The sequence below is a fragment of the Homo sapiens genome, chromosome X (assembly GCF_000001405.40).
Source record: "Homo sapiens chromosome X, GRCh38.p14 Primary Assembly".
In the NCBI taxonomy this organism is placed as follows: domain Eukaryota; kingdom Metazoa; phylum Chordata; class Mammalia; order Primates; family Hominidae; genus Homo; species Homo sapiens.
Genome location: NC_000023.11, coordinates 85100893 through 85127864, shown reverse-complemented (window position 1 = coordinate 85127864; position 26972 = coordinate 85100893). Strand labels below are relative to the sequence as shown.

Here is a 26972-nt window from a genome sequence, read left to right as displayed (position 1 = left end):
GAACAATGAGAACACTTGGACATAGGGCAGGGAACATCACACACTGGGGCCTGTCGTGGGGTGGGGGAACTGGGGAGGGATAGCATTAGGAGAAATACCTAATGTAAATGATGAGTTAATGGGTGCAGCACACCAACATGGCACATGTATACATAAGTAACACACCTGCATGTTGTGCATATGTAACCTAGAACTTAAAGTATAATAAAAATAATAATAATTCACTTCATGCATTGGTAGTCATTTGGATTGAAAAAGTCCAGTAACAAAACAGATTTTGTGTTATTTGCCAACAGGATATGGAGCAAGTTAAGAGAATTAGATCACAAAGGATTAAAATTGTAAGCTGTTTCGTTTTACAAATGGAAAGAATGAGGTACAGGGAAGTTAATGCCTTCATCCAGATCACATGGCATGGAATAGAGACAAAACTAAATCTAAACTAACATTCCTTGGTTCTTGGATCTGATACTATGAATAATAATACAACCTACATTTATATAGTGCTTTAGAGTTTAAAAAGGACTTTCAGAAACATTGTCTTCTTTGATCCTCAAAGTTATCTTTGAGGTAAGGCAAATATTATCCCTGCCTTATAGATGAGAAAACAGGAGTGGGGTGAAGTGAGGCGGTAGAGGATCAGGCTCAGAGAGATTAAGTAACCTCTTAAAAACATATAACTAGTAAAATATTGAGTAGGGAATAGTATTCAAGTCTTTTGACTATAAATTGTACACTAGATCACAGTATATTGCATAGGACTCTGAATCAGCAAGTTAGTGACAAGAATTTAACTGTTTAATTTTATTCTTTCCTTTTTGCAAAATAATACATTAAAATTATATGATGGCCGACTTCAAGGAAGTTGAGTTGATAAATTAAAATATTCCCTGAGTCAGTTTACCAGTGTTTCAAAGTAACTTTGAATTTTGATACATGAGTCATTCTAACTACAGTGAATACATTTCCTATAATGGTATATATCAGCTTACCCAAAATGGGGTGGGAGGGGTGTGGTGGGGGGGGTAAAACTTGTGATGAAAGGAATAAAGGCCATCGTTTGGTACTCCAACCCCTGGAGGCTGGTTCAAGTCCTGGGCAATTTACTAGGTACCTAATTTGTGCTAGGGGTTCTGAGGGCTACAAAATTTTGATAAGATGTGGTTGCTGCTCCTTGAGAATTTTACACCCTGGTTGGACTGTCCAAATCAATAGGCATAAAAAATTATACAAAAAATACTAAAGTGGTGCAGTTTATAATCCACATAAAAGAAGATCAGTAGGGCTAGAGTAGCTAGAGATTGTCTCATTATACCGAAAGCGGCAGTAGTGGTAAAATGCACAAACTCTGGTGCTAGATTGTCTAATTTCAATTTGATTTTTACTACTTACTATGTGGTCTTAGGCAACTTACTTTAACCTCTCCTGTGCCTCAGGTTCCTCACCAATATTATAGGATTATTGGTAGGATTAAATGAATTAATATGTTTGTAATGTTTAGAAAAATTCCAAGTACCCAATGCTTTACATGTGAGTAAAACATACATAAAATGATTAATAATCTAGATCCACAGGAAGGACTGACAAAGTAGGAAAGGCTGAAGCTAGGGAGACCAAATGAGAAGCTGTTGCAGTAATCTAAGCTGGGGTGATGGATGATAGGGAAGATGTAAAAGATAAAAAGCTCAAAGGAAAGATGGGCTCCTTTGGAAGCAGATTGGAGATACAGAAGGGGAGGAAGAGCCTGAAATGTATTGTGGTTTGCATTTATCCTCAGATTAACTCTTGTGAGGGTAGGTCAATTCTGGGATCTTCAAGATCATTTAGGGTTTGCTGGGCCTGTAATGAAAAAGACCTGAAATCCTTTTTGGCCCTAAAGAGATCTTCTGGATCAAGGGTAACATAGGATTACAATGAGTAAAGCATAACTTGAATCCCCTGGCATCCATCACTGGCCAGGGAATTCTTTACCCTGAGATTGACTAAGTACTCTTAGAAGACAGATCATAATTCATAAAGAATTAAATGTGGAAATTTAAGACACTGCTTGCAATGGATCACATATTTGGTAAGGATTTTAATTGAATGATTCAATAATGGATTGGCTATATATATATATATTTAAAAATTTTTTTCATCTGATATCTATACAGTGAATAGTATGGTGCTGTAGATGTTTGTTTAAGCAAATTCCTATGGGCTCATCATAGATTGACTTGAGATATGTTCTCATGTGTTCAGAGTTTATAAGTTGTATCTACCATTTACACCATTTACATAAGGCAATGGACAATTCTATCATTCTTCTCTGTCTCTTACACACACACACACACACACACACACACTTTCCTATGTGTTTTTACCTTCAAGTGGAAGAAAAAAAAGGACATACTTAAGATTAAAGCAATACAGTGTTCTTTTTGCTTTTGATTGCACATTTTGCCTGGCCCAGTACTACTCAGTGTAATTGTCACTTCCCAAGGAAGGTACCCACATTTCCACGTTAAAACTAAAACAAAAATCAATTAGATATCTTTGTTATACTCTCTCATACCATCCTGTGGTTCCTCTTCATGGTACTTATTGTACTTTTTCACTAAATAGATAGGTATATATAATTTAATGTCTGTGTACCATGTATCTCCAATGCATAAAATGATGTCTGGCATGAGCTGAATGGTCCCTGGGTAGCCTTGGCCAACCCAGTCTATTCTTTTTCTTGCCTATAGTTCTCAAAATAACTATAAAGTACCCTGGGTATGCAATATCCTAAGATAAGGAAGAACTGCCTGAAACAGCCTGGGTCTTATTCCTGTCTCTCCTTGAGTGAGAGAGAAACTGCCCGGGACAGTCTGGCTTTGGTTCCTTTCACCTCTGGAAGCAGTGTCCTTAAAAACCTTTCTCAATGATTCATATTACTCCTGAGGTATAAAACCCAGAGTAGACATCCTTTAGGGGTCCCTCAGCTGTGGTACAAATGGGGCACGTGCAGTCAAGACTCCATCCACCCTGGGTAGATTTATTGAGCCTTGGGGCACCAGCTCACAATGGATCCAAAGACTTCTCTTGTCCCTTGCTTACTATCTATAAGTAATAAATCTGCTTCATATAACTTGTTTTATGTGTGTTCTCTCATTGAACTCAGGCAATAAATAAAGCTGCAGCCCAAAATGCAGTGGGCAGAAAGATTTGGACCCCTATTCCTTATGGTTGGCATAGTGATGATCTTTGCTACCCTCCACACAGTGGGAGTCTTCTCTTAGGGTTACTTATTAGTGAACCTGCTTCACAACATATGGGTGCTAAGTACATATTTGTTTAATGAACAAAATGGAGAGGAAAGCTAGCATTTATTGATCACCTAGCTCCATGCTAAACACTTTATATGTAAACTCACATTTATTCTTCACAATAGTTCTGTGAGGAAGGTATTATTACCATCATTTTAAAGATGAGGAAACTGAAATTCAGAAAGATTAAGTAACATTTCTAATGTCACAGAATTATTAAACAGCAATGCCAGAATTCAAACTGAGGACTGTTTGACTTCAAAGCTAATGCTCTTCACTCTACTCCATAGTTTCAATATCTGCTTAATGTAACTTCTCCATTGAATCTATAATGTAAAAGATATGCCTGGGGGTAATATTAAAAAGTGACAAAACAAAGGAATGAAGCAAATATTCAAAGCTAAATAGCTCCACATCAATTTCTAATATCTAATTATCACAAAGTTGGATTGTAAACAACTATCCAAATGTATTTTGTAGGCTAGCATATTTATAAATCATGGAGTCAATAACACAGTCCTTGACTTTTTAAAACAATTATTTTATTTTTCATAATTAAAAAAATTTAATGTAATATATACTTCCAACTTAAAAAATACAGAAGTATATAAAGTAAAACCCCAAATCATTTACCCTCCCACCATCCTACTCTTCAGTGGTAACCAGAGTTAACAGTTTGCTGTGTTGTGTCCATGCTTTTATTGTTTCTGAAAAATCATCAGCTGTTTTTATTAAAAGACTGATATGAAATCATAGTTGGCAATTACTATGACAGGGAAACCAGGAGTAGGTAAATGTTTTCGTTTAGTGTTTGTGTTCTTAGAGGATGTTTCTTTGTAATCATTGATATTCAGGGTTCAAAGGGTCATGCAGAGTTCATGTGGTCCTTCCAACTTTAGAAGACTGTTTCTTAAAGAGTTTCTGCACAGCAAAAGAAATTATCAACAGAGTAAACAGACAACCTACAGAATGGGAGAAAATATTTGCAAACTATGCATCCAGCAAAGGTCTAACATCCAGAATCCATAAGGAACTTAAACAAATTAACAACTAAAAAACAAACAACACCCCCGTTAAAAAGTGGGCAAAGGACATGAACAGACACTTTTCAAAAGAAGACATACATATGGGCAACAAGCATATGAAAACATGCTTGATATCACTGATCATTAGAAAAATACAAATCAAAACCAAAATGAGATACCATCTCACACCAGTCAGAATGGCTATAATTAAAAAATCAAAAAATAACAGACACTGGTGAGGTTGTGGGGGAAAGGAAACACACATTCCTGGTGGGAATGTAAGTTAGCTTAGCCACTGTAGAAAGCAGTTTTGAGATTTCTCAAAGATTTTAAAACAGAATTTCTATTTGATCCAGCAATCCCATTATTGGGTATATACCCAAAAAATAATAATATAAATTATTCTACTATAAAGACATGTGCACACATATGTTCATTGTAGCACTATTCACAATAGCAAAGGCATGGAATCAACCTAAATGCCCATCAATGGTGGACTGGATAAAGAAAATGTGATATATACGCATCACAGAATTCTGTGCAGTCATAAAAAACAATGGAATCATGCCCTCTACAGCAACATGGATGTAGCTGGAGGCCATTATCCTAAGCAAATTAATGCAGGAACAGAAAACCAAATACCTCATGTTCTCACTTATCAGTGGGGGCTAAACATTGAATACAAACAAGCACAAACAAGAAAACAATAGACACTGGGGCCTACTTGAGGGCAAAGTGTGGGGAGTGGGTGAGGATTAAAAAACTACCTATCAAGTACTATGCTTATCACCTGGGTGACAAAATAGTTTGTACACCCAACTCCTGAACATACAGCTTACCCATGTAACAAACCTGCACAGGTACTCCCACAAACCTAAAATAAAAGTTGTAAGGAAAAAGAAAAGTTTATTTCTTCTTCTTTTCTTTTTTTTTGTACACTTATTTATTTGTTCCAATATGAATCGAGTGCTTACAATATGCCAGGCTCTGGGAATACAGTGGTAAGCAACACAGGCAGGGTCCCAGCTCTCATTATAGGTTAGAGGGAAGACAGAAGTATACAATTTTAACTCATGGTGATAAGTAGTATGACAGAATGTGATTCTTAAACTTCAGAGTGTTGGGATGCATGTTAAATTTGCAGACTGGCCCTACACCAAATCCATTGAATCAGAATACCTGGAGGGTGGATCCCAGGAATCTACATTTTAATAAGCTCCATAGGTGGTTCTAATTTGGATGTTTTCTTTTGGCAGTTTATAGAAGAACAAGGGTGCAAAGGAAAGTGTATGGTGGGCAGCTTTGTTTAAAGGATGTCAGGGAAGACGTCTGCAAAAAGTTACATCTAAATTGAGATGAACAATGAGTAAGAATTAACTAGACAGTTGAAAGTTGGGGGTTGGGAGGTAAATAAGAGCATAACAAGAAGAAAGACTTGCCTGAATATGAGAGCGAGAGAGAATGCCTGCACTAAGAAAGTGAAAGAAGTTCAATATGTCTAAAGAGTTGAGGGTTTTTTTTTTTTTACCTATTTAGTTATTTTTAAACTGACAAATGACAATTTGTATGTATCTATGGTGTACAACACGATGTTCTGATATATGTATACATTGGAATGATTAAATCATGCTAATTAACATATCCAGCATCTTATATCCTTCTTATTTTTTGTGGTGAGGACATTTAAAATCTACTCTCTTAGCAATTTTCAAGTATATTATACATTATTATTATTTATAGTTAGTATGCTGTACATTAGATCACCAGAACTTATTCCTCCTGTCTAACCAAAACTTTTTACCCTTTAAACAACTCCCCATTCCCCACCCCCACATAGAATTTAAGGTGGGTAGGGGGCAGGAGAGTGGTCGACAAGACACCCCCCATGAAGAGGATAGTTCAAGATGGTAACCAACACTGGTACCATAGGGATCAATAAGACTTAAGGGAGGTGTGGAGGAGAAGGAGGTCAAGAAGATTAAGAAGGACCATTCAATCATTTTCTGTCATATTCTTGGTCCATTAGCTATTTCTTGTTAGTATATATACTATATACTAACAAGAAATAGATATACTATATAAATATAGCATATATATTTATATATATACTATATACTAACAAGAAATAGCTAATAACAAGAAATATATATATTTATATATAGTATATATTTATATATTTATATACATACATATATTTTTATATAGTATATATTTATATATTTATATACATACATATATTTATATATACATATTATTCTCTCTCTAAATATAATAATTCATCTACTGTGTACCCACAAAAAATAAAAATAAAATAAATCATATAACAATCCCTTACATTTGCACTTTCTTATACATTTTTTCATCTGAATGGATCCCCACAAAAAATCTATGAGGTAGGTTGGGCAAGTGTTATCATTTCCATTTTACAGATAAAACATCTGAGCTCATGGAGGTTAAGGTTCTTAAGGTCTCAAAGTTACTAAGAAGCACAGAGCTAATTCTTTACAATTTTTTATGTTTGTTATGTTTTGCTTTTTATTTTGCTTTTGCCCAGTTCATTGTTCTTCTACTACCTCTTTCCATATTTGACGGCATCTTGTATTCTGAGATTATCCTCCAAGATTTTATATACTCCAGCCAACTGAAGGCCATTACAATGTTGGGAGTATCATCACCATAGGTGATGATTCAAAAGGTCTCAGGTCAATTTAAGCAGGACCCCATTTGTCTTTCACGCCTTGCTATGACAGACAACTCTAAATATTTTTTGTAATAGAAAGGCTCATAGATGAAAAGAAATGTCTTCAAGTATACGTTGCTAAATCACTAGCATCTAATGAGTACTTATTAACTAAGCACAATATTTCTTGTAAAAACCTTTTTGATAATGTTTCAAGATATTACATAAGATAGTTTATGGCTATGATTTTTCAAGTTCCAAAGTTTAAATGAAGCAGGATTCTCTCATCAACCACCATTAACATAAACTCAATTTCTGGAAATGCAGTTCCTCTAACTTTGTTTCCTGCTATGTTGGATGTTTCCCAATAATCCCAAAGTAAACCAATTTCTCAATTTCATCAAACTTGTTAGCTCTTTTTGGTCCCTTTCATCCCAAAATTACGTTCCTCTGAACAGTTTTTAAATTTACCTCTCAATTTTTCCACAAATATCACTTCTTCATTGGAAGTACAGAAAGACTGGTATTTTTCCTCTTTTGGAGCTGGGATTTCCTTCTAAACCGGGGACATTCCAGAAAGACAGTAAGTAAATAGTCAAAGGTTAGTAAGATTTGTGAGTACAAATAAAGGGAATATAAAAATTTCTCTGGGGTCACAGCTGTAGTATCTGCCCCATTTCACCTCAACCATACTGTGGAGAGACAAGCTTTCTCAAAGTACTAGCACAGGAACAGGGATATTTGAAGAGACTAAAACAACAAGATTACAGTAATATTTTGTTGGGTTACTAGGCAGTTTAAAAGGAGGACTATTTGAAGGAGAAAAAGCGGGATTTAAATTAAAGTTCTTCATAATTAAGACTCAAAGTGAGAACAAGTTACTTCATAAATATATGCTGAATTATCCTATTCTAGTACTTGAACATTTTTTTATTTTAGCCTTTTATTCGCTTAATTTAAGAAGACACTAAACTTCATTTTATTCTTGGTTATTAAAATAAAAATACCTAGATATTTTAAGTATCATTAATTGTTACTAATGGTATCCAAAATCCCTCTTAAGGATAGTTTTTCTCCACCAATTTCCTCTGATTCTCCTTAAAGTATTTGAGGAGCTAAAGTAAAACCAGATTTTTTTAACATAAAAAGTAGGCTCTAACTTGGCATTCCCTGACTTACATATCAAATGCAAGGTATTTAAGCATCTTAAATAGGGCCTTTTTCTAGGCATTGTCAACTGATATTTTTACAAAAAGCCTCCAGAGTTTCCAAGAAATATTTAAAGCGATATTTATTTTAAAATGTATTATACAAATATGTTTCCTGGAACATTGTTTAATGCCACAAAATGGGAAACAATTAAAATGCACATCAAATATGAGATTGGTTAAATAAATGAAAACATATACTTAAGCGGTGAAGTGACAGCATCTGATGGAGAGCAGTGGGCTCTGGAGTCATACTAGCTCTGAATCTGGAACCTGGCTCAATCATTTTAAAGGTTTATAATCGTGGGCACATGATGTCTACTTTTTCCGCAATACTTTAGTTAAAGTTGCTTACCACACACCAGTCTTGTATTTGCGGTAGTGCATTTGGGGGCATGAAAGTGAAGGGATGAGGATCACATGTGAGCAGAGGTGCTGAAAGAGGACAACAGTGACAGGAGCTGAACCCAGGGACTGTAGCTTCTCTAAGCCTCAGTTTATTTATCTGTGAAATTGGGGTCCTTATGCCTAACTCATTGTGATGAATAAATGGGATTATGTATAAAAAGCATTTGCCATAGTACCTGGCACTTGATTAATGTTTGGCATTGCCTCAAACAGCTTGGCACATACTTAATGTTTAATAAGTATTTGTTGAATGATAATAATTTTTTGAAATATTATATGTAATGCTATGGATCTGTGGAAGACTAATGATATATATATGCCAATATTTGTTTGCTTATAAAAATGTATTTAATTAACTTTAGTTGACAAAACTTGTATATATTTATCGTGTACAACATGCTGTGTTGAAGTATGTATCCATTGTGAAATGGCTAAATCAAGCTAATTAACATATGTATTACCTCAGATACTTATCATTTTTGTGATAAGAACACTTAAAATCTACTCCCAGTGATTTTCAAGAATACAATATATTTTTCAGTGAAAAAAAGCAACTATGACTTCAATTTTATTTAAAAATTCATTCTATGTATTTAAAAAGAAAAGAGTAGAAGGATAGTCACTGAAATGTAACTAGTGGTTATCTCCAGATAGGATTCTAAGCAATTTTTCATTTCTATTTTATGTGTTTTGTAAGTGACCTAAATGTCTTCCAATCTTCTGGAGTCACTTATTTTTGTAATAACAAAATGTCTTGAGTTTCCATCCCAGGTAACAAGATTTATTCTCTTTACTCAGCCTTCCTTCTCCAGGGTTACCTTCTTCTTATAAACCTGTTCATGACTCAGTCCAGGCTCCTCATCCCTTCACTTTCATGCCCCCAAATGCACTACCGCAAATACAAGACTGGTGTGTGGTAAGCAACTTTAACTAAAGTATTGGGGAAAAGGTAGACATATTTCCAGATAGCACCAAATAGGAAAACATTTAAAACTGAATATTGACATCTTAAAGATAACCTTTTACTGGCTGTTTTGTGCCCTAGGCCTCAGCCTACTACCCGTTTTGCCAGGTTCTGCTCCTCATGCCAAGAGCTCTGACCTTACATTTAACCCCTCTTCTCAGCCTCTTTCTCTAGACTGCACTCTGGAAAAAAAAAAAAAAAAGCTAAGTTCTTTTTTTATTTGCAAAACAGTTTCATTATCAGCCCCTATCCCAGACTAGCCCCCAGATCCATCTTGCGTTTCACAAAAGGTTACTGCTGGATAACTTTTATAAACAAAAAAAGTCTTTTGTCCCTGATCTCCACCCTTAGCTAAGCAAAGAGACAGCAAAAACAAAGAGAGAGATTTTCCCTTAATTGAAAATTTGCTGATGATATCTGGAAAAGAAGAAAATTCAAATTCTTGAGTGTGCTTTTTTCCAATTACAACAAACTCTAGAGGTAATTTTCTGTCTACCTGTCATAGATATTTTCTACAATGAACATGCATTCTTTAATAAAATATAATACAGTAAATATTACTTTAAAAAGTAATTGTTGCTTATGGATGAATATCTCTAAAGCACTTCAAGTTCTTATTTCAGAACCTATCCCACTTGTCAGCTCTGTTCCAGTCTGGCTCCTTGCTTTAAGGTCTCCTTCCCCTAACCTTTCCTTTTCTCTCCCTTTCTCTCTCTCTTCCTTCCTGTTTGAATCTTACAGGGGTACCAAAAAAGCCTATGAACTTAAAAGGGAGAGAAAAAACAATATTGGCTCTGAGGTAAGAAGATTCTTACAAATTTAAACTCTGCTTGCTCTAGATGAAGATTCTACAAATGCCTTTCTTAATCACAAGTATTTATTTAGATGAAACCAAGCCGGAGTTGTTACCAGTGGCAAATACATGTGGGTCTGCAACAACCTCAATTCTTGCCTCCTCAGAAGAAATAATTTGACTGAGGGAAATAAGGCAGAAGGAGAGACTGAGGCAAGTTTTAGAACAGGAGGGAAAGTTTATTATAAAGCTTTAACGTGAGAATGAAAGAAAGTAAAGTACACCTGGAAGATGGCCAAGTGGGCAACTTGAAAGATAAAGCACACGGTTTGACCTTTGACTTAGGGTTTTATATGTTGGCATACTTCTGGGGCCTTGTGTCCCTTATCCCCTGATTCTTCCCATGGGCTGGGCTGCCCGCATGTGCAGTGGCCTACTAGCGGTTGGGAAGGGAGCACATGCAGTATGTTTACTAGAGTTATACGCATGCTCACTTGAGGCATTCTTCCCTTACCAACCAAATGTTCCTGGAAGGTCATATGCCAGTTAGACACTACTATTTTGCCTCTTAGTGCACATGCTTGAGCCCACATGCCCAACTCCTGAGATCTTATTGGGAAGCTGCTGATCATCAGTTTTGGGTTTTTCTATCTATTGGGAGACTGCCTTTCCCTGGTGCTGGCTGTGACCAATTATTGTTTTAGAGACTACCTATTATTGGAGTAGGTAGGTAGACAGACATGAGCAGGGCAGTAGAGACCCCCCAGCCCTCCAGGAATGTCAGGCGACCATCAGGTGATGGTCAGTTGGTTGTTAACTGTTTCTCTGAAATACTGTCTCTCCTGTCTCTCAGAAGTTGAGTGAGTGGGCTCAAGCATACACATTATAAGGCAAAATGGTGGAGTCTAACTGGTATATGACCTTCTAGTAACATTTGGCTGGTAAGGGAAGAAATGGCTCAAGTGAGCATGCATAGGATTCCACTGCACATGCAGCCCCTCCCGAGTGCTAAAAGGCCACTGCACATGCAGAGAGCCCACCCTAAGGGAAGAGTCATGGGAGAAGGGTCACAAGACCTCAGAAGTATGCCAACATATAAAACCCCAAGTCAAAAGTCAAACCCTGTACTTGATCTCTCAAGTTGCCTGCTTGGCCCTCTTCCAAGTGTACATTAATTCCTTTTGTTCCTGTGCTAAAGCTTTTTAATAAACTTTCATTGCTGCTCTAAAATTTGCCTCAGTCTCTCCTTCTGCCTTATGCCTCTCAATTCTTTGTTCTGCAGACCCACATGGATTCACCACCAGTAGCATACGTTGATGCCATGCGACTGGGATATAATCTGCTGCTAACATACTTTGGTGTCATGTGACTTGGATACATTTCCCAGTGGTAAGACACCTCTCCACTTCACTTTATAGAGGCATGTAACCTCTATACTTTTCATTCTTTGGCTAGAGGTGTTCAACCCCCATATGCAGTTTTCTTCTCCCTATTCACTCTCCTGCCTACTAACCAACCACTAGAATGATTCCTCTCAGCCACAAATGGCTCTGCTCCCCCTGGCTGATCTCAGCTCACCCTGATGTGTGGCTTTCAGGGGTGGTGGGAAGGATCCTGGGGTCCACACTGATTAGAACTGAAACATTAATGGCCCTCCTGGACAGGACGCTCATGAGAGTGGCAGAGCGAAAGCCTAAAACTGTGCAATGTCTGGGGTTTCTTCAGCTTGTTCAACTAAAATCGGCTCTTTCCAAAGAACCCACGCTGCCTATTTTCCTGTTCTCTCTGTGTGTGTTTTGAAATGGCCTTGTGCACCTGCCAGAATGTACACCTTGGGGGCAAGTCTGCCTTTTCTCTAGTTACACTTCACATGCCATGTGACTTCTTAAACACACATTCCCTGTTATTTTTGCACCCAGAGCTCTTGCCACGTTTTCTTGGCAGCAAAAACATGGGCTCCTCTGTGGATATCCCCTGAGATTTATACCTGTTTTTAACCTACCAGCTCAGATGACCTCCAACCCTTCTCCTGTCTTCTGGCACATTGCCAGGACAGACACTAATTGGAACCCCAGCTGTCCCAGCTGTTTATGACTTACCATATACTTTTCATTCCTGTTATGCCACAGGGCCAAGTATTCCAGTGGCTTTTGAAGCAGTTTGTCTGCCTGCATAGGGCCTCACTCTGTTGCCCTTTGAGGAACTCACCTATTTGCTTTTTTTGAGTTAGCCCTCCTTTGGGAGGAGGAGAAATCCTTCCTTTGCCATTTGCAAGTTCTTACCTCAAGCCCCAAGTACTGCAAATTTCCCTCCATTAGGTCAAGAGGGCAAATAAACTTTACCCTCTGGAATCCAAGGGCTGCTGTTTTTTCAAGCATTTGAAGGCTTTCCATGAATATTCCTCTCACTTCCTTCCACTTCCTCCTGTAGCCTCCATTTCTCTAATCACTTCCAACCCCTTCCCAGTATGCATCAAGACCTTCAAGTTCATATTCAAAGGGAAGGAAGTCCAGCCCCCTTGTGGCAGTTATTTAAAAAATAGGCTACTCATCTCCTTAAAGATCATAAGATATGGGAATCAGACAAAAGAGATAATTCTGCTCTTTGACAGAAAATTGTAAAGGGTTATAAAAGTTTTATAAGAATCCTACCTTATGGTCAAACTGATTAAGATTGTATAGATTTGTCTATAAGATTTTATTAAGAACTGGGTTTGACATCAATAGTACACTAACGCAAAGGTAAAATCTGGCTTTCTTTAGACTGTATTTCTATAAATGTGTTATTGGTATGCGTTTCAAAGTTATGCAAACCTTCTGTAATTCTGATATAACTTAGTATATGTTGTGTTAAATTATTGTGTCCCACAGAGGTAACACATTTCCTTTTCAATTTTGTCTTTGACTCTCACTGCCCTAAGACTTTTTGTTATCCACAGACAATTGTTGTCTTGTTTTAATCCTCTTAAAAATGTGGTTTTATAATCAGCTATAGAACTTTAACGGTTGCTCTCAAAAGCAGGTTTCTGATAACTTTGGAGATTGTGACATTAGAATAGAGGAAAACGCTTTCAGAACTCTCATGGAGAGCTAAAACGTTCATGAATATCAAGCAGAGCAGGACTGCATGCAGTGAACAAATAGAGGACTGAAATAATCCTTTAATGACTTTTTGCTTAAAATGTTGCTGATCCTTTTTTTCAGAGTCAAGAAAACATTTCTTTTGAGCTATTTAGAGCTTTTAACAATTGAGTACAGTATACTCTTATAAATAAAATTTGGAGCATATTGGTTCCTCTCTACCTGGTTTCTCAGTAATTTGGAAACTGTTTGTGAATATTCTTAACTTATAACAATACAGTTATTTTTATAAGTGCAATAAAAATCTGTTTTCTTTTGTAATGGGACAAAATTAGAGCCACTAGTAATTTTACCAAATCTTTGACTGGAACAGCATACTTTCTTTTAAGGAATCAAATGTAACTTAGAGAGCCAATAAAAGTCTCTTGTGAAAACCGGCCTCATACCCTGTATACACAGTCCCTGTACATGGTTACTAACCTGTGGTAAGTAAAGAATGTCACTTTCTGACGGGCCCAGGGATCCCAAGTTATCTTAGGATCTCAAGAGGAGAGGAATTTACACAACTCATATGGTATTTGATGGCACCCACCTATGGCTGGGCTTAAGGTTTTAAAAAGTCTTATCTGAGATTTCTTATGGAACAAAGTTCCATCAAAGCCAATTTTAAAAGGAGCTTATATGGCAAATAATTATTCTTGCTGTGCTTTATGCAAATAATCAAGCCAAGTATAATAAAACTAAAGCTTATTTTGCAAAACAAGTCAGTCTTATCATGATTTGTTTTTAATACAAATGAGGACTGGAGACAGAAAAATTATGTTTAAAAAATATAGTATACGTGTTATTAGGCTCTAGACTCATCAGTTGTTTCTGAGTTTTTGTCTGCAATGTAGACTAACCCTGCTTTTTCCTCTGAACCAACTAGTGATCTCTCCCTGCAGCTCAGAGGAAACAAAAGGGTTGGATAATGCAAAAATGTGGATCAACACTCTAATTCTGGGCACATATTGAAATCAGCTAGCAACCCCATGCACCTAACTCTTAGCAGGCATTACTGCAGCATGTCGGTAGCCTCAGGATTTTTTTGAGCTATCTGCAGCCTATTATTCTGGTTTGACATTCTTCTAAAAAATAACCTGATTTGTCTCCTCTTGCCTTCACGCCATCACGCTCCAAATGATCCTCAGTGAGGGATATCATCCTCTCAATATTCAAGAGTCACCCTTTTACAAAGAAACCCTAGACTACCCATCAGTGGGACACAACAGAGGCATAATTCTGCCCCTGACTCCCTTGGACCTAGCTAGATACCACTTTCACTAACCCATGGAGCCACCCTGCCCTGACAGGTAGCAAGAGTCCAAGACCCACAGAACCACCACCACCAGCCCCGCGCTGTCAGAAGGAAAAAGGAAGCAGTTACAGAAGACTTACTTTCATTCATTTTCCCCAAAGAATTAGGGTCTTGAACTCTTGATGGGGAAAATGTTACAGTAGTTAGTCAGGCAGACATGAGCAGGGCAGGAGAGCCCTCCTGACCAGGAATGTCAGGCGACCATCAGGTGATGGTCAGGCAGTTGTTAACTGTTTTGCTAACATAATAATTGGTCACAGCTGGCACCAGGAAAGGCAGTCTCCCTATAGATATAAAAACCTGAAACTGGTGGTCAGCATCTTCCCAATAAGATCTCAGGAGTTGGGTGAGTGGACTCAAGCATGCGCATTAAAAGGCAAAATGGCAGAGTCTGAGTCTAACTGGTATATGACCCTCTAGGATTATTCGTCTGGTAAGGGAAGAATGCCTCAAGTGAGCATGCATACAACTCCAGTAAACACACTGCACATGCAGCCCCTCCCAAGCGGTAGCAGGCCACTGTGCATGTAGACAGCCCCGCCCAAGGGAAGAATTGGTGGAAAAGGAACATAAGACCCCGGAAGTAAGTCAACATATATAGACCTAAGTCAAAGGTCAAACCGTGCGCTTCATCCCGCAAGTCACCTGCTTGGCGCTCTTCCAAGTGTACTTTACTTCCTTTTCTTCCTGCTCTAAAGCTGTTTTTTTGAGACAGAGTCTGATTCTGTTACCCAGGCTGGAGTGCAGTGGCACGATCTCAGCTCACTGCAACCTCCACCTCCCAGGTTTAAGCGATTCTCTTGCCTCAGCCTCCTGAGTAGCTGGGATTACAGGCACCCACCACCAAGCCTGGCTAATTTTTTGTATTTTTAATACAGACAGGGTTTCACCATGTTGGCCAAGCTGGTCTCAAACTCCTGACCTCAACTGATCCACGCACTTCAGCCTCCCAAAGTGCTGGGATTACAGGCCTGAGCCACCACACCTGGCCTCTAAAACTTTTTAATAAACTTCCACTCCTGCTCTAAAACTTGCCTTGGTCTCTTCTTCCACCTTATGCCCCTCAGTCTAATTCTTTCTTCTGGGGAAGCCAGAATTGAGGTTGCTACAGACCCTTACAAATTTGCTGCAGGTAACATACTTCGTTGTCTCATGATTTGGATACATTCTGCTACTAAAAGTGTCTGGATTTTACTTAGCACCTACAGAAAAAGGGGATTGTATGTATTATAGATCTCTGAGGGGTGGCTTCATATGTTACATTAATTCAAAACATTTTGGTAGAGCAGACAATGCATGTACATTTTGAAGTTTTAGAAAAAGAATTTGGGAAGTCTTGGCCTACAAACCTCACTACCTAAACTAGATCTTTAATAAAATAGTATGTTAAAACTAAAATTAGGCTTTTATAAATTTTCTGTTAATACCTGGAATAAAAGAAAACTTCAAATTAAAATAAACAAGCTTACAATATTTCTTAGATTTTTGGTTCCTAAACTGGATAACACTGCCGCCTTGTGGCAAAGACTGACTACTGAAGCTTTTTAAAAAATAGTCTATTAAAAACTATGTTTTCCCTGATGGTGTACCAATTAAAGTGGATTTTTGAATGTTTGATGGAGCCAGTCTTATTCTGAGTTTCCAAGATGAGACAAATTGTTCTAATAAGTAACTTTAAGCAAAAATGTATTTTTTGTATGTTCCGTTAAAAACACAAATGCATTATGTTCAAACCCAATATTATTTAAAAATAACAAAAAACAAATATCTAAATAGTCTTCAACTCATGTAAAGAAAATGCAAAATAAACTCATTAACCAATTCTAGATTATGAAACTGCATTTTTCTAACTTTACTTATTAAAGACATCAACCAGAAACCTATTACTTGCCTCTTCCTCTAAGAAAGTAAAAGACAAACTTCATCCATTCTCACAACAAATTATGCAAATTGTTTGATTTTGTAAAGTAAACAGCAAAATTATCTCATCTCTTTGCCTGCATTTCAGAAGAAAACAAAATAACTGGGTTTTCCTTGTTTTGTCTGGACTTTTAGCTGTGTGACCTATGTCAAGTTACTTAACCTCTCTCAATCTGTTTCTTTACTTGAAAAATGGGGATAAGACTATCTCCTACCTCATTGGATTGTTATGAGGATTGGGTTAATACAAGTGTTCCTTAGAACCATGCCTGACACCACAGAAATAATTCACTAAATATTAGCTCTTGTTTTTATTATAAGGTAGATGGAAAGCAGCAACACACATACATCTAATTTGTATTAGGCTTGACATAGTTCCGCGATGTGACTTGATTTGCTTGTCATGCTAAGATGGGCTCTCTAGGTACAATTTAGAGCTAGCATAGGCCTAATAGTGATTGGGGTCTCTAATTTAAATTGAAAGCTTCTATCTATGGGATGGGCCTTGGATACCCATCCCCATTCCTCCGTTTACTACACTTGGGGAACTGAGTTAACTTGACTTCCAGTTTATTGATAAAATGGGGAACAACGGTACATGCATCACAGGGTTATTTTGATGATTAAGTGAGATAATACATATGTAAAGCCCTTATCACAGCGTGAGACTTAGAACAGCCTCATCCAAAGTTCTCTGGTATATTTAAAAAATAAATAATATTCCATCTGAAACAATATTAGAACCAGTTATATAATATACATTGTTGAGGAAGTAAGCCAGCAGTTAAAATGATGGGAGAATGAATCCTGCAGAGGGGAGAGGTAAAAGGACAAAATGCCTGACCTCACAGATATGAGGATGGAGAACGAGTGGAATGTGTTTAAGAGGCTGGACCGAATAATAATAAAAAGCCTGGAAAGATAGATCTGGGTCTGAATTCAGGCTCTCCACCAACTTTTACGAAGCCTTGGGGAGGTAACCAAATCTTTTGAGTCAGTTTTCTCAGAATTGGGGATAATAGTGTTGATGTGGATTGAATAAGAAAATGAAACGTACATTCCACTGAGCCTAGGCCATAAAGGAACTCAGTAAATGTTGGCTGTAGCTATTATAATTACTATTATTTTTGAGACGGAGTTTCACTCTTGTTGCCCAGGCTGGAGTGCAATAGTGCGATCTCAGCTCACTGCAACCTCCACCTCCTGGGTTCAAGCGATTCTCCTGCCTCAGCCTCCCGAGTAGCTGGGATTACAGGTGCCCACCACCATGCCCAGCTAATTTTTTGTATTTTTAGTAGACATGAGGTTTCATTATATTGGCCAGGCTGGTCTCGAACTCCTGACCCCAGGCCATCCACCCGCCACGGCTTTCCAAAGTGCTGGGATTACAGGCGTGAGTCACCACGTCCAGCGCAGCTATTATTATTTTTAAAGACGTAGTATCTGCATTCGAGACTTGAGCACTTCATCGGGACAACTAGTTTCCAGTGTAAGTGAAAAATGAGGACGGAAATAGGAATTGAATTATTTGAATAATGGGATGAAGGGAAAGGGAGGGGAGTTGCGGCAAGTTTCTTTGAATTGGCTAAAACAGCAGGGACTCTTGGGAGTGCCAAGCATAAGCTCTGAGACTCATTATAGCCTCTTGCTTCACCATTTTAAGCTCTTAAGAGAGGATGAAATAAAGTGGTCAAGCGAGCCCTGCTTTGCCCCACCCTCACCACACGGGGGAGCACGTAGGCACTTTGATACCTGCATTGTGACCGCCATTATGATGCAGTGACCATGCAGGGGCGGGCTGGTGGTTATACTCCTCCAGGATCATTTTCGTCTTCCCTTTACTTCCCCCCTTTTGGCAGGGAAAGGCCAGATGACAACCTGAAACTCAGCCAAGCTTGCAGCTGTGGTCGCTGGTGAAGTCAACTCCAGCAAACCGGAGGCATTAATAATCTTCCTGAGGTGCTCCTCTCTTTTTCCAATTCCCACCTTGATAGAGGGGTATCTCAAAGTGGGCGAATCAAATTGAGAAGAACTGGGAACAGCCAACAACCTCCCACCACAGCACAGTTAAGGGATTCTGTTCCATCAAGACAGCCATCAGCCAATCAGTTGTCTGCCAACCCATCATCTGCCACCCCATCCTTAGTCAACAAAGCAGGAATCAACTGGGCATGAACCAATCAGGCACGAACCAATCAAGTTTATCAGACTCGAACCAAGCAGGCATAAACCAGCCAAGCACAAACTCACTTGGTATGAACCAAATGGACATGAACCAAGGGAGTGCAAGCCTATATGAAATGAACCAAGTGGACATGAAACAACCAAGCATGAGCCAAGCTGGCATGAGGCAATCAGGTACAAACCTACCAGACATAAACCAACCCGACATGAAACAACCAGACACATGGCAATTAGGTAGGAGCCAACCAGGCATGCTGCAACAAGAACTGAGCCAACTAGTCCTGAGCAAAGCAGGCATAAGCCAACCAGACCCATCGCAACCAGGCCCAAGCCAATCAGGCCCCAGCCAATCACGCATGAGGCAAATAGGCACGAACCAATCAGGTATGAGCCAACCAGTGATGCAGCAACTAGACAGCCAGTCAGGTGGGAGCCAACCAAGCATGAGACAAGTAGGCACCAGCCAATTAGGCACAAGCCAAATAGGCATGAGCCAACCAGGCACATGGCAAACAGGACTGAGCCAACCAGTCCTGAGGCAACCAAACATGAGTCCACCAGGCATGTGGCAACCAGGCGTGCAACAACCAGGCATCAGCCAGCAAGTCCCAAGCCACCCAGACATGAGTCAACCAGGCATGAGCCAGCAAGTCCCCAGCCAACCAGGCATAAGGCAACCAGACACTAGCCAATCATGTAAGAACCAAACAGACATGAGCCAACCAGACGCAAACCAATCAAGTTTATCAGATTCCAACCAAACAGGTATAATCCAGCCAAGCCCAAGCTTACTTGGTATGAACCAAATGGACATGAACCAATGGAGTGCAAGCCTATATGAAATGAACCAAGTGGACATGAAACAACCAAGCATGAGCCAAGCTGGCATGAGGCAATCAGGTACAAACCTACCAGACATAAACCAACCTGGCATGAAACAACCAGGCACATGGCAATTAGGTAGGAGCCAACCAGGCATGTGGCCACAAAGCCTGAGCGAACTAGTCCTGAGTGAAGCAAGCATAAGCCAACCAGGTCCACCGCAACGAGCCCCAAGCCAATCAGGCCCCAGACAATCAAGCACGAGCCAAGCAGGCACAAACCAATCAGGTATAAGCCAACCAGTGATGTGGCAACTAGACATGAGACAGTCAGGTGGGAGCCAACCAAGCATGAGACAAGTAGGCACCAGCCAATCAGGCACAAGCCAAATAGGCATGAGCCAACCAGGCACATGGCAAACAGGCCTGAGCCAACCAGTCCCGAGGCAACCAAACAAGAGTCCACCAGGCATGTGGCAACGAGGCATGTGGCAACCAGGCATGAGCCAGCAAGTCCCCAGCCAACTAGGCATGAGACAACCAGGCACTAGCCAATCAAGTAAGAACCAAACAGGCATGAGCCATCCAGGCAGGGGCCAACCAGGCATATGGGAACCGGGGCCGAGTCAGCCAGGCCTGAGCCAACAAGACCTGAACCAATTAGTGCTGAGCCAACCAGGCCTGAGTCAACCAGGCAGGAGCCAACCAAGTGTGAGCCAAATGGGCATGAGGCAAACAAGCATGGATTACTTTCAAATAAGACATGCAGAGGCTGGAGACTGCCCAGAAATTTTGCGACTGATTAAAGTAAGCCTATTTTTATTACATGGAGCCTCATGGCATTGGTGTAGGGCTGAAAGAGTAAGGGAGGCATAGTTGGGGTTCGAATTCTGCCTCTGCTAGTTATGTGTTCATAACCTCTGGTAGTTACTTAACCTCTTTACTCTTCATTTTCTGCATCTAAAATCAAGATTATAACAATATATATCTCAAAAGATTGTTGTTATGAAACAATAACATAAAATGATTACATATAAATTGCTTGGCATATAGTAAGGGGCTCAAAAAGTTATAGGGGAACCAATTCCTGGAAATTTTAGGGACTGAATGTGTTCTCTTTCCTGGGGAAATTTTAACTTTAAAAGAGTGTCTTAGAGAAAAGAAATGCTTACCTTAAACAAATGACCCACCGATGATAGAATTTCATATTTTAGTGGCTAGGATTTTGCGGTAGGGAGTCGCATTGCTTCTAAGGCCACACCTACTTGTAGAAACTGATGATCAGCTACCTAAAAAACAATATTCACATGCAACAAATTTTCCATACATTTTCAGACAGTTCATTGATCACTGAAGCCCATCCACAGACAGCCCCCAGGAGCCAAGGAGCTGGGTTACATATTTCTCATTTAAATGTTTATTTTAATGGCTCCCTTGGAAATCATTCCAGTTAATTAAAGGGACAAGCTATCTAGTAGTCACAGTTACTGTGCTGAAGTTCTGTGGTGCTGAAAGCACTCATTTATGTGATGGACAACCTACAGAATTCCATATAAAGCTGTAAACCATGTTCTTTATGGAGTAAATATGTGGCTGGAGCAAGGCATAGATTGTAGATACGCAGCCCTCATAAGTGTTTTGTAATGAAAATGTTTTAATAATATCCTCACTAATATATTTAAATCTTATCTAAATCAGGCCAAGTTTGTGTTCCCTTTGGAGAGTGTGTTTTAATGGCCAAAATAAAATACCCATAGTTTTCTAGTGAAATCCACCTGTTGAAGTGATTCTAGGCCTGGTTACAGATCTGTAAGAATTGGGTTACCTATCCTTTTATGGCTTACATTCTATTCCATTTCCACAAATTCTCACATCATTTCTCTAACTGGCATTAATCTGAATGATTAGATAACCTATCAAAATACTATGCCCAAGAGATTATTACAGATCCACATTCTTCCAGGTGGTAGAAAACATTTTTTAAAGAGTTTTTTGTAGTTCTAGCATCTGACACTCGGTCGGCAATTAATAAATTTATTGTTGAATGACAATTAATCTCTTTACCTGGACAAATGCACTTTTCCTAGCTTTCCAAGCAATGCCCATTGTCATCACCAAGGGAATAATACATCACTAGATTACCCCATTTCAATGAAACTATCTGAAGGGTTTCTGGCCACATTTACTTTTTAATTTGCCACATGTATCTGATAATACATAAGATGTTTATTGGGAGTAATTTTAATGAGTATTCATTGTGGAAAAATAATAGAAAAGCTAAATTACTCTCTCACATACATGTATATAGTGACTAATTGGCTTTGAGTTTTATGTTCTTCTTAATATTTTATGTCCATTTGTCCTAACTCCTGTTCATTGCTAAGTTTGCAAAACATTCTCTCCTTGCAGAGGAGTTTATTAGAGTTTGCAATCACAGTAATTGCTTAGCTGAATATATTACAGGTTTTATTGACTGTCCCATTCCAAGTATCCTCTGTATGAACTCATTTTATACTATTCTCAATCAGCACATCACAGCATTATTTGGGAGCCTAGTCATTTCATTGCCAGGCAGCCATACTTCTTGCTTACCAGAATTTCTAAAGCTTTTTATTGTGGTGGTCCTTAAAGTGTGGTTTTGGACCATTGGTGAACCACAGATGGTGCTGGGTCATATTAATATTTTATTTTTGTTCATTATACAAACATTGAATGCATATTAGGGGAAGATTATATACCAAGTAGTATAAAAGATATAAGGATTCTTGGATTACAGTCTCTCTCTACCCTCAAGGAGCTTACAGTGTCTTAGAGGAGGTATCGACATAAATATTGTCCTCCCTGACCAATCCATTCTCTACACAGCAGCCAAAATGCTTAAAACTCCATTGAGCTTCTGGTTGCCTTGAGAATAAAATCCAAACTTCTTACTAATGCTCTATGTAATCTGGCCCTTGGGGTTCTCCTGTATTTTAAAAGCTTTTTTCCATTAAAAGTTTAATGCAATTCCAGTCAAAATCTCCAAATTTTCACATAGAAACATTTTAAAAATTCAAAAAAGAAGAGTAATGAGGGGAGATGATCTATACCAGATATTATAAAACTGTAAGTAATTAAAATACTATGGTAACTAGTGGAAAGATAGATCAATGGGACAGAATGGAGAGTCCAGAAGTTCTCTTAAGTATGCAGTCAGCCTTCTGTATCCATGGCTTCTGCATCTGTAGATTCAAACAACCATGGATTGAAAATATTTGTAAAAATTGCAACCGTACTGAACATGTACAGACTTTTTTCTTGTCATTATTCCCTATACAATACAGTATAACTATTTACATAATATTTACATTGTATTAGATATTGTAAGTAATCCAGAGATGATTTAAAATATATGAGAGGATGTACATAGGGTACATGCAAATACTCTGCTATATAAGGGGCTTGAACACTCTCAGATTTTGGTATCCTGGGGCTGAGGGAGCAGGTCCTGAAACTAATCTCCCATGGATACAAAGGGATGACTGTAAATGAGGATGTAGTATATGATAAAAGGGACATGTCAAGTCAGCCAAGATGGGTTATTCAGTAAGTGCTGTTGGGACTATTGGGAGGAAAAGATAAAGGTGAAATTGTACCTAACTTCTTACACCAAAAAAAGTTGAACAAATCAATTATTAATATTATGATCTTAAAAAGAAAACGAGTGAATATTTTTTGCTTTTCAAGCTTGAGATATAAACCATGAAGGAAAGAACCTGAGTATGTAAAATAAAATGATATAGTAAAAAGCCACAATAAAAAAGCCTCAGGTTAAACTGGCAAAAACATTTCATAGGCAAACACCTGAGAGACTTCTCTGTAAAGCCTATGAGCTTCATAATACATAAACTTTATGACAGCTGCCTTGAATGCTCAGTAACTTTTTTTGCCTTACTTCTCAGTTTCTGGCTGCATTCAAGGTTACTAATCTGGATAATTAACATTCATATGTGTGAGGTATAAACATAGTTAATCTCTCTCTTTAATAATATTTATACATCCTTTCGTTGCATTACTGTTGTAGATTTTGTTTCTAGATGACTGGGATTAAGTCTGACTCACTTTTAACACTGCCCAGGACGTCACATGTCAATAAATGTTTAATACAAATTTTATGATGATTATCATCTTAATAATTTATTGCTAAATCATAAACTGAAGGTTTTATCTACTTTGACAGGAATTGGCTGCCTGTGAAAACATGCTAGATGCAATGGAGTTAACAGCAGCTGGTAAGGTGTTTTGTGGTATTTTCAGAGCAAGAAAAAGAAACACACAGTACTACTTAGATATGTGGAAGCTATTGTTCTTGGTACATAAAGATGACACCATTACTAACATGTGCAGGACATAAATTTGATAGCTTTGTCAGTGCTCCACTATTTTATTTTCCTTATTTTTAGTACAAAAATGATACTTAAGAGCTCTTACACCTTTACAGCTCCAATAGACTTCAGCTGGTTTTCAGAATGTAAAATGAGGAGTGTTACTGGTCAAAAAAGTATAATTTAACACCCAGTATGTTGGTAGTAACTTGATACAAGGAAATTGATAAAAGCAAAATGATTTAAAATATTTTCAAAGTATTTACTACATTTTGATAGTCATCAAGATTAATAGGATAGGCTAGTGATTTCTGAATTGGAACATTTTAGGCAGTAAATATGAAGATGAAAAGATTATTGATGTATATAAAATTACAAATGGCAAAGACTAGGTGAAGACAGTTATCAAAATCTAGAAGAATTGATGAAGGATAACTCCTTGAAGTTGAATACTTCAGAATGCATGTAATAAACTGAGAACATTCTACCAAGGAGATAAATGGTTTCACTATAATACTGGGTGACAGATTCAGAAGGAAGTTATGGGATGTTTTGTGGAGTCTTTTGCGCCATGCCCTAACAAACTAGTCTTAGTGCCTTGGTCAGAAATAGAATTCTGAACTGCATAGATCATGGATCAGTTGTCTTATGTGATGATACTTATGTTCTTATACTTGGTAATTAACACCACTAGAATGTTAACTAAATAGTAATTTTGTTGGCTTAAAAGAAATAGTAAGAAATACAAAGTTGAAAGTAATGTACACTCTATGAAAGCAGTACTCAAACTGAAACAGCATAACAAAATGAGCATCCCTAACCTGATAATCTGAAATCTGAAATGCTCCAAAATCAGAAACTTTTTGAGCACTGGCATTACACTCAAAGGAAATGTTCATTGGAACATTTCAGATTTCAGATTAGGGATGCTCAACTGTTGAGTATATAATGACATATTTTAAAAATCAAAAAAAATCAGACATTCAAAACACTTCTTGTCCCAAGAATTTTGGATAAGAGATACTCAATCTGTACTATGTTGAGATAATGCCCCTACACTATTTCATTGTAGTTAGAAAAATACTGCTCAGGATAATATGTAACAATCATAAACAACAAACAACAAAATACTTTGTATACTCCAGCATCCTGCCTTAGGATTTCAGTATATATTTAAATTGCAGTAATTTCATAATGTCCTCAGTCCTGTTTTTATCTTAAAATGTCCTTATGTACTTGTATAGAGGCCGGTGAGATATTTGATTTTTGTTTACTCTTACCTATTGTCACAAACTTTTAAAAAATGTGATTAAATACACATATCATTTTAACTATTTGTAACTGTATAATTCAGTGACATTCAATACATCCATTGTTGTGCAACCAGCACCACTATCCATCTCCAGACATTTTCATCACCCAGCTGAAACTCTGTAATCATTAAACAATAAATCCATAGGTGGGAATTGAACAATGAGAACACATGGACACAGGAAGGGGAACATCACACTCCGGGGACTGTTGTGGGGTGGGGGGAGGGGGGAAGGATAGCATTAGGAGATATGCCTAATGCTAAATGACGAGTTAATGGGTGCAGTACACCAACATGGCACATGTGTACATATGTAACAAACCTGCACATTGTGCACATGTACCCTAAAACTTAAAGTATAATAATAAGAAAATAAATAAATAAAATTTAAAAATTAAAAAAATAAATTAAAAAAAATAAATCCCCATTGCCGACCTCCCTCCCCCTAGGCTCTCATAACTACTATTCTACTTTCTATCTCTACAAATTTGTCTATTCTAGGTACCTCATATGACTGGAAATATATATTTGTCCTTGTGTGTCTGCCTTATTTCACTTAGCATAATGTTTCAAGTTTCATCCAAGTTGTAGCCTGTATCTGAATTTCTTTCCTTTTCAAAGCTGAATAACATTCCATTGTGTATATATATAATGTGAGATATATATATCATTTTGTTTATTTTGACTGTTTCCAAATTTTGGCTATTGTGAATAATGCTGCTGTGAAACATTGGTGTACAAGTATCTGTCTGAGTTGCTGCTTTCATTATTTTGGGCACGTACCTAAAAGTGGAATAGCTGGATCATATGATAATTTGGGGGTTTTTCTGAGGAGCTTCCATACTGTTTTCCACAACAGCTGCATCATTTTACATTCTCATTAGCAAAGCACAAGGGTTCTAATTTCTCCACATCCTCACCAACACTTATTTTTGTTTTTTTGTAATACCCATCCTAGTCGGTATGAAGTGATATCTCATTGTGTTTTGATGTGCATTGCACTAATGATTAGTGATGTTGAACACCTTTTCATGTGCTTATTGACCCATTGTATATCTTCTTTGAGAAGTGTCTATTTATGATATTTACACATTTTGGAATTGAGTTGGTTTTTTGTTGTTGAGTTGTAGGAGTCCTTTATATAGTCTGGATATTAATCCCTTATCAGATGTTATTTCCAAATACTTTCTCCCATTCCATGGGTTGCCTTTTTACTCTTGATATTGCCCTTTCACATACAAAAGATTTTATTTTTGATAAAGTCCAATTTATTCATTCTTTTGTCACTTGTGCTTTTGGTGTTATATCCAAGAAATCATTGCCAAATTCAATGTCTTGAAGATTTCCCATGTTTCTTCTAAGAGTTTTATAGGTTTAGCACTTATGTTGAGGTATTTGATCTATTTTGAGTTACATTTTGTACATGATGTGAAGTTAAGGGTCCAACTTCATTATTTTGCATATGGATATTCAGTTTCCCTAGTACTGTTTGTTGAAAAGACGGTCCTTTTCCCCATGAATGGTCATAGAACCCTTGTATCAATGGGTCAGATATGTGAGGGTTTG

General features: G+C 37.9%; 1 protein-coding gene across 4 annotated transcripts in view; it reads left to right on the top strand.

Annotated features, from left to right (window-relative positions):
- The window catches only part of SATL1 (spermidine/spermine N1-acetyl transferase like 1), a 151496-nt gene that overhangs the window by 115915 nt on the left and 8609 nt on the right, over window positions 1-26972 (top strand). The window contains exons 4-8 of one of the 4 annotated variants that reach the window (NM_001367858.2): window positions 9410-9527; window positions 10317-10374; window positions 11651-11757; window positions 18585-20537; window positions 23950-24001. In NM_001367858.2, coding sequence (NP_001354787.1) covers window positions 18897-20537; window positions 23950-24001 — 1693 coding nt within the window. In that variant the 5' untranslated portion in view covers window positions 9410-9527; window positions 10317-10374; window positions 11651-11757; window positions 18585-18896. Of the gene's footprint in view, window positions 1-9409; window positions 9528-10316; window positions 10375-11650; window positions 11758-18584; window positions 20538-23949; window positions 24002-26972 lie in introns of those variants that run through there. The other 3 variants (XM_047442081.1, NM_001367857.2, NM_001012980.2) reach the window with 3 other exon arrangements.